This window comes from Homo sapiens, chromosome 3 (genome assembly GCF_000001405.40).
Source record: "Homo sapiens chromosome 3, GRCh38.p14 Primary Assembly".
In the NCBI taxonomy this organism is placed as follows: domain Eukaryota; kingdom Metazoa; phylum Chordata; class Mammalia; order Primates; family Hominidae; genus Homo; species Homo sapiens.
Genome location: NC_000003.12, coordinates 72,576,302 through 72,588,579, shown reverse-complemented (window position 1 = coordinate 72,588,579; position 12,278 = coordinate 72,576,302). Strand labels below are relative to the sequence as shown.

The 12,278-nt window shown below is 44.6% G+C and overlaps 1 long non-coding RNA gene and 2 pseudogenes across 1 annotated transcript in view; 1 reads left to right on the top strand and 2 right to left on the bottom strand.

The window, feature by feature from the left end:
• LOC105377161 (uncharacterized) overlaps positions 1-6,450 on the top strand; it is a 134,312-nt gene extending 127,862 nt beyond the window's left edge. Inside the window, exon 11 of the long non-coding RNA XR_940962.3 lies at positions 6,373-6,450. This is a non-coding gene — a long non-coding RNA (uncharacterized LOC105377161). The remainder of the gene's footprint in view (positions 1-6,372) is intronic.
• On the bottom strand, positions 5,045-5,210 carry MTCO3P47 (MT-CO3 pseudogene 47; annotated as a pseudogene).
• Positions 11,726-11,889, bottom strand: RNU1-62P (RNA, U1 small nuclear 62, pseudogene; annotated as a pseudogene).

The window sequence follows — 12,278 nt, the reverse complement described above, 5'->3', positions numbered from 1 at the left end:
ACAGGCATAGTTAAGAGCTAAGCCGAGCTAGTCTCGGAGCAGGTTGGAGCAGGCCAGCTGAAAGTCCTAGTGAAGGGCTTGGTTTGGCAGGAATGGAAAAAGGAAGAATTGTAAAAAGGGAGGCTCAGGACAGGTTTCGGAGGGCTTTGGGTGCTGAGTTAGGAGTCTGGGCTTTTATTCCAACAGTAATTGGGAGCCATCAAAGGGCCTTGAGCTAGGAGGGAGATGACATGGTAGAAAAAGGATTTTGCTTTGTTTTTTTAAGAAGACTCTTCTGGCACTTTCCTTGGCTGTGATAAAGAGTTTTGATATCCCCTAATGCCAGTGGGTTTCTGGGAACTTGAATGAGATAATATATCGGCAGTGCCTAGCACAGTGCCTGGCATCTACTCATAGGATGCACCCAATAAATGCTAGTTACTGTTCTTGTATGAAGTGTAAATAAAATACTTTATTAGTGTTTTACAAAAGAGATTGTAAATAGAGAAGAGCAGAAGGCCATAGCCTGAGACCAGAGGAAAGTGGTCACCTACACCAGGGAAGGAGCGGCTGGAGAGAAGGAAGGTGTTGTGGACACTGTAGTGTGCTGCCTAGATCCCCTTTTGGGGAGGGACTGATTCCCCCAGCTGCTGGCAACACTGTTGGAATGAATGGCCCGTGGCTAAATAACACCACCTTGCCCAAAGCCTTGCCTACTTCCAGGGAGCCCACCCCCAGCGACTGATCAACCGGGTGTGTAAAGACCTGATTCTTTTGCTCCAACTCAGTGCCCCGAATGCCTGTCCCTGTGGAGCTGGCTGAGGCCTTTGCTGAGACTATTTCACAATTCAGCTTCTCCCTCCCAGTCCTGCTTCCCTCTGCTCCCTCCACGGAGTGATGCTGAGAGCACTCCCTGATCATCTCCATCTTAGAGACAGCTTACCAGGGGAGTCAACCTGCAGCAGGAGAGCTAGGTAGAACAGCGCCATGGAGACCTAGGCAGGAGAGCTGTCTAGAGGGAGGAGGTGAGTGAGAAGACCATATTGAAATGGGAAAAGTTCCCTTGTCCCCTTCACAGGGTGTGTGTGGCTCGCTTCTTCAGTGCCCCGCTGCTCAAACCTCTAGGGGGAGCAGGCAGATGGGCAGGCTGTGGGGCTCCCATCCCAAGGCAGCATCTAGGGGTGAATACTTATAGCTCCTGAAGCCCCAGTGGGCATGTGTTATGGGGTGCTCTTTTAGTTTTGCCATTTGTAGGTGGCTTGTGTTAGTCAGCTCTATTAGACTCCCTGCCTTATCACAAGGACAGAGGGCTTTCTGTATCCCAGGGTTTCTTGCTTTGGTGTACTGGAAGAATCGGATCACATGTGGGCTTGGAGAATGAATGCAAGGTTTTATTGAGTGGAAGTAGCTCTCAGCAGATGGGGGAGCTGAAGGGAGATGGAATGGAAAGGTGGTTTTCCCCTAGAGTCAGGCCGCTCAGCAGTGGGGCTCCCCTCCAACTGCCCCAGCCAAACTCCATGTTGTTGTGCTGGTCGATGGCCTGCCAGCCTGCAGGTGCCTGCCAGTGTGCTCCTGACGTCCAGCTGCTTGTGTGTTCTTCGGCTGGTGTGTTCTGCTCAATGGCTCAGCTACTTCTTGTGTGCATACCCACTAAGGTCTCCGGTTTATTTACAGCACAGGATCAGGGTGTGGCCGACCAGGGTGGCCTTGGGAAATGCAACATTTGTGCATGAAGGCAGGAGTGCCTGTCTTCACCTAGGTCCATAGGCTCGGGGGTGGAGCCGTAGCCAGGCACCATGCCCTTCCCTTCCCAGCACTTCTCTGCCCATCTTCCATATCAAAATGGTGCCATGAGAGCAGGAGAACAAGATCTGAGAAAAGGCCTCTGGATTCAGCAACTAGGAAGCCGGCATGAGCCCAGTGCATTCAATGAGTCCAATTAATGGCAGAGGCTGAAAAGGTGATGCTGGAGTGAAACAAAGACCACAGGTGCAGAGAGTCTAGAAATTAGGCTAGGAAAGAAGACAAACTGTGAGAAGACAGCCTGAGAGGTGCCCGGGTCCTGTCACGCAGCCTCTGGATCTGGCTTATTTTGTTAAAAACAACCAAGGATTCCCATCAGAAAACCCTCCGACCACATGTTCAAGAGACACCAAATATCTCTTTAACCGTGAGACTTTAAAAGGGCAATTTGTTTTTTGAGGATCTAGAATGCAAGCCTTAGGGATGTCATTTCCCCAGCACTGAAAACACTGCAGCAATCTCGATACTGGGCATTTTTGTAAAATGAGAATCACTGTCCACCCTGCTAAGCCTCTCGCACTCTCCCTCGTCCTCCAAGGACTCTTCAGGGTCTGCTCTTTGAACCCCAGTCCTATGCCTCTTCCCTTTTGGCCTCCTTTGGCACAGATTATTTCAACAAATAGTTATTGAAACCAACAAAATGACATCAAGTCAAAAGCAGCTCATTGAAATTCTTTTCCTCCTCTACTTCCACCCCCACTCCCCAGGCTGGGACAAAGAAAGCGTGGAATATATTCAGAGCCCACCAGCTCTCAGACAAAACTGGCCTCCCCAATTTCCTGGTGGACTGTGGCTGATTCCCACCCTAGTGCTGTGTCCCCCACCTCTTCCAGGGCCCTCTCCTAAAGATGCCTATGTAAAGTGTGGCCCTCCTCAGAAGAACCCAGTTTCTGGGGTCCTCAGACCCAGGCTTCTCTCTGGGTTGAAAACAAAGTCCAGATGCCCACTCACTGCTGATGGGAACATTAAATGGTGCAAGCACTTTGGAAGGCAGTTTGGCAGTTTCTTAAAAAGTTAAACTTACCATTTGATCCAGCCATTATACTCTTAGATATTTACCCAAGAGAAAGGAAAGTTGATGTCCATGCAAAGACCTGCACAAGAATGTTCGAATGTCTATAGCAGCTTTATGTGTGATTGCCCCAAACTGAAAACAATCCGAGTGCCCTTCAGTCGCTAAATGCGTAAACAAAACGTTGTGCATCCATACAGTGTCCTGCTACTCAGCAGTCAAAAGGAATAAGTTACCGATGCTGACAACAATACAAAACTCTAGAAAATGGAACCTAATCTATAGTGACAGAAAGCAATGGTTGCTCAAAGGGGAGATTGGGAAGAGGTGGAAAGGAAGGTATATTAGTCTGTTCTCACACTGCTGATAGAGACATATTCAAGACTGGGTAATTTATAAGAAAAAAGAGATTTAATGGACTCACAGTTCCACATGGCTGGGGAGGCCTGACAATCATGGTGGAAGGTGAAAGGCACATGTTACATGGCAGCAGGCAGAAGAAATGAGAGCAAAGCAAAAGGGGTTTCCCCTTATAAAACCATCAGATCTCATGAGACTCATTCACTACCACGACAATATGGGGGAAGCTGCCCCCATGATTCAGTTATCTCCCGCGTGGTCCCTCCCACAACACATGGGAATTGTGGAAGCTATAATTCAAGATGAGATTTGGGTGGGGGCACAGCCAAACCATATCGGAAGGATTAGAAGACACACAAGGAAACTTTTGGGGGGAATGGCTATGTTCATTACCTTGATTGTGGTTATAATCACACCGATGTATGAATAAATCAAAACTCATTGTATTGCATGCCTTAAATATGTGCAGTTTACTATATGTTAATTATACCTCAATAAAGCTGTTCAAAAAAAATTTTTTTAAGCAAAGTCCAGGAGAAGGAAGGCACCATGGCTTAGTTAAAGAGTAAAATCTTTCTCACAGAGAAAGTGCTCTGTTCCTGGGTTGACATGACATGAGCTGACATTTCAGCCTCTACTTCCTGGACATTGGACCAGGTGCTATATTGTTGGAATCACCCCTGCAATTTTATTTTTTTATTTTAAAAATGAAGACAGGATCTTGCTGTGTTGCCCAGGCTGGTCTCAAACTCTCAGGCTCAAGCAATGCTCCCACTTTGGTCTCCCAAAATGCTGGGATTACAAGCATGAGCCACCACACCCAGCCACCCCTGCCAGTTTAGAACTGAGTAGATTTGCTTTCTACTTGATTCCTGTATTCCAAAAAACCAAGCAAAGAATAGTTAGGAAATATTAGGTTTGGTGAACAAACAGTGAAAGGTGGGTCATATTTAAGAGAAAAGAGGAACTGTCTCTATTGGTCAAATTCCTAGAATTTGCCGTATGGTCACAATTAAATTGGGGCCAGTGTGGTGGCTCACATCTGTAATCCCGTGCTTTGAGAGGCCAAGGGAGGAGGACTGCTTGAGCCCAGGAGTTTGAGAGCAGTATGGGAAACCTGGTGTGACCTTGTCTTTACAAAAAATTTAAAAATTAGCTGAGCTTGGTGGTGTGCACCTGTGGTCCCAGCTACTCGGGAGGCTGAGGTGGGAGGATTGCTTGAGCCTAGGAGTTCAAGGCTGCAGTGATCTGTGATCACTCCAGCCTGGGTGACAGAATGAGATCCTGTCTCAAAAAAACAAAAAACAAAACAACAACCAAACCTAAATTGGGCTTATTTGTAAATGTGACTCTTTCCCTAAATGTTTAGAAGCATTCATTTACTCCTTTCAAAAGAAATGTATATGTATGTTGCTTTAAGTGAATGCATGACATTTATTGTATTGATGAACCATGGTTTATTTGGCTTTCTTCAGTAACCTTCTTGTTGGATGTTTAGGTTATTTCCAATGTTTTACTGTTATATATCATAGCAGACAATTTGGTCAAGAGCAATTTGGCTGGAAGCAAATTGATTAAGCTGTCAGTATGGTTGGAATGCTGAATTCGTTGATAATGAAAATTCTCAGTCACTATGTTTATACAAAAAGGAAATTTTTGTTTGCCAAGGGGAAATTTTGCCTGGAATGATATTCCAACTCTTTAAGCATCTTTCAGCAAAATAATCATTTAAAAAAAAATCTAAAGTTTTGTTTTCTTCTTTTCAACACCTCCCTATTTCCAGTCAATTATGCCCTGGTGGCTGGGTGCAGTGGCTCACACCTGTAATCCCAGCACTTTGGGAAGCTGAGGTGGGCGGATCACTTGAGGCTAGGAGTTCGAGACCAGCCTGGTCTGTGGTCAGTGTGCTGGTTAGTAGGCCCAGTGTTAGTAGGGTAGTGGATTTAAAGTGAAATCATATAGCTAGGCCAGATGTTATTAGGAGGGCTGAGAGAGCTCCTGTTAATGGCCAAGGGCTGGGCTTAACTATGTGGTAGGCGTGTGTTTGGTGGGTCATTATGTATTGTCGTGTAGGTAAAGTCTTACTAAAAGTGTGAAGACTTAAGCTTGGATGAAGGCAACAGCGAACTCAGCCTGGCCAACATGGCAAAATCTCGTCTCTACTAAAAATACAAAAATTAGCCAGGCATGGTGTCAGCGCCTGTAATCCCAACTACTTTGGAGGCTGAGGCAGGAGAATCACCTGGGAAGCAGAGGTTGTGTAAGCCAACATTGTGCCACTGCATTCTAGCCTGGGCAACAGAGTGAGACTCTGTCTTTAAAAAAACAAAAAAAACGCTCTGGTTTGGGATTAGACTAACAAAGAAGCAACTGAAGCAACTATCGCCTAAAAGATGGAAACGATCCTAGTGTTCACCATTTCATGTCTTGGATAGAATGCTCAAAATTTATGATATTTGCACTAGTGATTGAAAAACTAATCCTGGTTCAATTTACTAAATTAATACTTTCAGGAAAACATGGCTAAGAAAACAGAGGAAGAATCAGTTACAGAAAATAAAGCCTCTCCAGACTTTTTGTTTTTTTCGGTGCAAGTAAAGTTCCTAGTATTATCCCTATTCAGGTAGAGGGGGAAAAAAAAAAAAAAGGGTAATCTCTGGCACCTGGGAACCAGTGTGATACAGCAGGGCCATGGTGTTCTGCTGTTGGACAGACACAATCTCATAGAACACAGACAAGGTCACTCTGCAACCAGGATAAAGTAAACTGAAAAGAAGGTCATTGTGTAACCCATAAGATACCAAACATCTCTTTTTCTCACCAAACACGAGTGACTGTTGCTTCTTTGTCAATTACAGCTTTATCCTTGATTTAGTTTGCCTTCCGTATACGTAAGACTTATTGTGATACTGAATTCTAGAATTGTGGTTGCTTTCTGACAGCACTGAATCTAGAGTGAGCCTGTTTCCTTAAGCCTTCCGCCAGATCACTCAACCAAAGCCCAAATCCTGTAATAGATTCTTTCTAACACCCTCTACGGAAACTACCACAGTTCCCCATGGTATTCATGCTCTCTAGTTTCTACCAGTAACAAAACCAACTTGTTCAACAACAGGTGTGTTCCTGGGTGGTCTTTGGCTGAAGGGCATTGACAAGGTTCTTTAATTCTTTGTTCCTTTTATTTGTTTTCTTTCAATAGCTAGGCTTTCTCTTTTCAGGCAAAACAGGAAAACCAGACCAGCAGAGAGGAGAGAGACCAGCAATCAGACCCTCCCAGAGACAATCATTGTTAACATATTGGTGCGGACCTTTCCTAATTTCTTTTCTATAGATATGTTATAATTTTCCTCTTTAAAAATAGAACCAAATTATTCTATTTTTTAGTTGATTTTTTTTTCCAACTTATGACAGCGATGGTTAAATTTTATGCGTTACCTTGGCTAGGTTATGGTGCACAGTTGTTTGGTCAAACACCAATCTAGATGCTGCTATGAAGGTATTTCACAGAGGTAATGCGCATCTACAATCAGCTGACTATAAATAAAGGAGATTACCTTTGATAATGTGGGTGGGCTTCATCCAATCATGTGAAGGTCTTAGAGCCGAAACTGAGGTTTCTTGGAGAGGAAGGATCATGGAAATCTTCCTCAGTTTCCAGCCTGACAGCCTGCAGATTTCAGACTGGGATATAACATCAACTCTTGTCTGGGTTTCTAGCCTGCCAGCCTACCCTACAAATTTCAGACTTGGCAGACTCCGCCAATCATGTAAGCCAATTCCTTAAAATCTCTCTCTCTCTTTCTGAATTCTGTTTCCCTGGAGAACCCTGATGGACATAATGACCACCTTTTGATGTAAACAGAGGCATACAGCTCTATCCTGTCTCTACCATATCCCTTAAAATGAGGCACACCCATCGTATGCTTGCGCTGTCCTTTAACCAACTCCCTATTGACAGACATAAAACAATTTGTTTCTTCTTATTATTAGCAGACCAGAGCATATTTAATTGTCTGAAAGGGAATTAGAAATTTTAAAAGTAGAGGAGAATGAAATCCCCCAAATTCTGAAAGATACTTAACTTTTTTTTTTTTGTCTAAAGGAACAAAAAGGTCATAAAGCTACTCCACAGGGGATCGAAATTACCTGCACCCATGATTGCAATATTCTTTTCAACCAAATTGTCACAGAGACTACACTGCTATTGCCACCATTGTGTTTTCAACCAAATCCAATGAAGCCACTGTAAACGAGGCTATGATAGGACATTCTTGTAATATTTCCTTACATTAAATTCTCAGAAGTGGAATTGCTGAGTCAAGCAATCTGCACTTTTAAAGCTTGAGATCTATAATTGTCCCCTTGGGATTAATTCCAATTCATGTGTTTATTAGATAAAGTTTTTGAGCACCTCCTATATATATGCTGGAGTGTGCCAGGCCTGGAAAACAGAGACAAATAAGCTATATCCTTGGCTTTAAGGAGCTCATGGCCTCTTTCAGTTGCCTTTCTGCCTAGCACAGTGAGCCAACAGAAGGCTCTCAACACATATTTGTTAAATAAATAAGTGGATGAATGAATAAATGAATGAATGCATATCAGTTGGCTTTTCCTGTGTAGCAAACTACCTTATCATAGGCTTAAAATGACAGTTATTATTTTTTATGATCCCATGGGTCAGTTGGGTGGTTCCTCTTGTGTGGGGTATGTGGCTGATCTCCATGGGCAGCTGGTGGCTCGGCTGGGGCTGTATGATCTAGCATGGCCTCACTCACCTATCCGGCATTAAGCAGGCTAACTGGTCCTGAAGGGCTTCAGTTGGGAGGGCTCATCTCTGCTCCAGGTAGCCTCTCATCCTCCAGGTGGCTAACTCAGGCTTGTTCATATGGTGGACTCAGGGTTCCAACGAGCAGCAAACAAGGGCAAGTGCCAAGGTACAGTACTATTCAAAGCTCTACTTGCGGGGCTGGGCACAGTGATTCATGCCTGTAATCCCAGCACTTTGGGAGGCTGATGTGGGCAGATCACTTGAGCCCAGGAGTTGGAGACCAGGCTAGGCAACATGGTGAAACTCCATCTCTACAAAAAATAGAAAAATTAGCTGGTCATGGTGGCCTATGCCTGTAGTCCCAGCTAATTGGGAGGCTGAGGTGGGAGGATCACTTGAGCCTGGGAGGTTGAGGCTTTAGTGAGCTGAGACTGTGCCTCTGTACTCCAGCCTGGGCGACACAGTGAAACCCTGTCTCAAAAAAAAAAAAGAAATCTCTACCTGGGCCACATTTGCTGCTTTCCCATCAATCGAATCAAACCTCACAGTAAGCCCAGAGTGAGTATAGAAGGGTGTGGACCTAGGGTATGGCTCTCGGGAGGAAGATTCAGCGGCATTTTGGCAGTCTGTGCAGAAAAGATGTGCCTTTGCTTCTAAGCTCATGGCCTGTGTCCATTTACCTAGATGTTTAAGTGGGAAACTTGGTTCTTTGTTTTTGAAATTACACTTTGAACCCTGAACTTTTCCGCTACATATGTTTAGCTCTGCCTTCAAAGAAATAACCCAGTGTGTGTGATTCCGGAGGCCGTGGCTAAGAAAACCGTTTCTGGGGCCTCAAATGCATGTTCACCACCGTGTGCTTTGACCTTTTCCTTCACAAGTGTGGCGAATGATAACTCATTGTTGCTGAAGCCACTGGTGACTTATCTGATCTCTCCTCACGAGCACAGATAAAGTTCAATCTTTACCCTGGTCCCCCATCACATAGCCTATTGGCACTTCATTTGCTCAGCACTTGGAAGGTGACTGAATGTAAAATTCCTTAGCATCAATTAAACATTTGGCTCAGGATAGCAATGTGAGAGACCTTTTGGGGCAAAAGGGGTGCCTGTCATTAAAAAAAAAACTGTGCCGATTTTCAAAGAACAGTTGCTAAAAGATCCCTTTACTACCACTTCTAGCCTGGAAATCTCTGCCTGCTGTTAAACACACGTGGCATGTTCGAAATGGGAGAAAATAGCTGGTAGAAATCTCTTGCATTCTTTACTTGAGAGGGCACAGAGGTTAATTTGGGAATAGTTCTCTAATGGAAGCCAGATTGGGGAAAGTTAGGAAACAAATTTAAAAATCATGTCTCCAAAGTAAGTGAGAAAGATGCTTTATTTATTTATTTTGCATTCAAGATAAATAATCATTTATCAAAATTTTGGTGTTTTGTTTGTTTGTTTTTTGAGAGAGACACATTTTTATGGCATGGGCCACCACGTGCATGGGGCTGTCTCGGTCAGTTAAATGAATAGGATGATCTTAATAGCTGCAATTTATTCTCCCTTTGGGGACATCAGGTTCAGAAGACCATTCTATAAGCTGTTTATTCTGGCGTATTTGATTCTGAGAAAGTCTTTTGACGTTTTCATATGGAAAAGCTTCCCTGCGAATGCAGATTCAGCCAAGTTTACCTTCTAAATTCTTCCCTTTCCTGTTGTCACCCACTCCACAAACACCACACACACACATACGCACACACTGAGACCCCACACACATTTGTCTTGTTGCCCTAGGAACAGTGTAGAACAGTGCTTCTCAAATTATCTGGGCATAAAAGGTCAGTTTTTGAGATTTCTTTTTTTGTTGTTTGAGACAGAGTCTTGCTCTGTTGCTCAGGCTGGAGTGCTGTGGCACAGTCTTGGCTCACTGCAACCTCCAGCTCCTGGATTCAAGCGATTCTCATGCCTCAGCCTCCCAAGTAGCTGGGGTTACAGGCGCCCGCCACCACTCCCAGCTAATTTTTGTATTTTTAGTAGAGAGGGGCTTTTGCCATGTTGGCCAGTCTGGTCTCGAACTCCTGACCTTAAGTGATCCGCCCGCCTCTGCCTCCCAAAGTGATGGGATTACAGGCATGAGCTACTGCACCCAGCCAATGTTTGAGATTTCTAATCCATTGCAGACCAATACAGTAAAATACAATTGACATAATTTAATGGAAAAAAATAAAACCAAGGCATACAAAATACGAGCTCAGTGTTTTTTATTATTAGATTCAGCAGACATAAAATCACTCAGTTAAAGTGCTTTATAAGTTTTGAAACACACTCAATGTCTGTATTTAATTAGTTGCAAATCGGTAATAGCCAGTGGACAAGCAGTACCAGTTGGTGGCCCCCACTTACACAGCACCTATCTAGAACAACCCCATTTCAGTGGCCAACCGAGTGCCTAGCAAACGTCCATCCGCATACTCATCCACATATCATTCACGCATTTATCGAGCCTGTGTTCCACACTGGGAGCTCTGTGAGACACAGGTAAAACTACAAACCCATCCCTGGCTGCTGTGATTGGGGAGCCCACGGGTAGCATCTCACCCAAGTGTCAGGGGTCAGGCAAGGCCAGCTAGAGGAGGTGGCATCTAAGCAAAGTCTAGAGAAAGGAGGGAAAATGGGTTATGTGAAGAGAGGGGTTTGGGAAGGTGAAGGGGCAAAAGGAAGAAGTCCTTTCCAGGTAGAGGCAAATGTATTTGCAGATGTCTTGGACTGTTAGAGGCGCAGCAGGTAATTCTTTTTGCCGGGATGCAGAATTGGAGGAAAGGAGAGACGGAGCTGGGGCTGGAGAGCTGGGGCCTTGGTGGGAGCTTTGATGTTGTGTCAAGGAGTAAGGGCTTCCTCCCGGAGAGCACAGGGAGCAGCTGATGGCCTTGGTGGAGAAGCCCCCATCAGTACATGTGCATTTAGGAGGCTTCCTGTGACTGCTGTGTGGAGAGGCTGGAGGCCAGCTATGAGGAGCACAGCCTAGACAGATGCAGAGCCCACAGGGCCCTGAGATAGATTATTTGCAAAAGAGAAAGAAAAGAGACTGGGCACAGTGGCTTATGCCTGTAATCTCAGCACTTTGGGAGGTTGAGGCAGGCAGATCACTTGAGGACAGGAGTTCAAGACCAGCCCAGCCAACATGGCAAAACCCCGTCTTTACAAAAAATAGAAAAATTAGTTGGGTGTGGGGGCACGTGCCTGTAGTCAGCTACTCTGGAGACTGAGATATGAGAATTGCTTGAACCTGGGAGGCGGAGGCTGCAGTGAGCCGAGATCATGTGACTTCACTCCAGCCTGGATGACAGACGGAGACTCCATCTCAAAAAAAAGAAAAAAAAAGAAAAAAAAATAGGGAGAGAGAGAAGAGAGGCTTCAAGGAAGCTCTTGAACACAGAACAATGTAGCGTGTGGGTGTGGGTGTGGGTGTGGGTTGCCCAAAGCTGGCCCAATGAAAAATGGGGTTGAGCCAACCTTCAGGCCAGAGCTTCCTCTACTGCCGGCCTGGCACCATTCACGAACCAACACACAGCCTGGATGGATAGCTTTCCTGGGCCTTCCTTTTAAAAAGTGTGAGTTCTCCTTCATCGAAGTTATAGGAAAGCAATAGAGACTTGACTGAAAGAAAAGGATTCACTCCACACCACATTGGAGAAACAAGCTCAGAACAATAGGTCTGCAATTCTCAAAGTGCTAATTCTTGCCTTCTGGATTTTTTTGTTTGTTTTTAGTTCAGTGGAATTTTTATTTATTTATTTTTTAATTTTTATTTTTTAGTAGGGGAGAACATGAACGCAGTCCCCTACCACCAGAAATTATGTAGTCGAGTTTCCCACATTTGGGGAAATTGCATGAGTCAGCACATCTGGAGTGCAACGGATAAGTCTTGCCCTAGGAAAACCACTTTCATGATCACAGTATCTCCTCTGTCAGGTAGTTAAATTTTTTAGAGACAGGGTCTCACTATATTGCTCAGGCTTGAGTGCTGTGGTATGATCATAGCTCACTGCAGCCTCGAATTCCTGGGCTCGGGGATTTCAAATATCCTCCTGCCTCAGCCTCCAGCCTCCAGGGACTATAGGCTTGAACCACTGTGCCTGACATTAAAAACAAAACAAACAGAAAAACAAATAAAAAACAGCAGCAACTACCCAAAGCTCAGTGTTTGATGTTTGTAACACATGCCTCATCTCTGAGAGGCATGAGATGAGAAGTAACCTCATCTCTGTCTTTGTTGCCCGATGGACACGATGATGGAAGTGCAATGTGTTTGATGCTGAAATCACACAACATATTGCCATCATCAGTTAAGTGATGAATCTAGTACAAA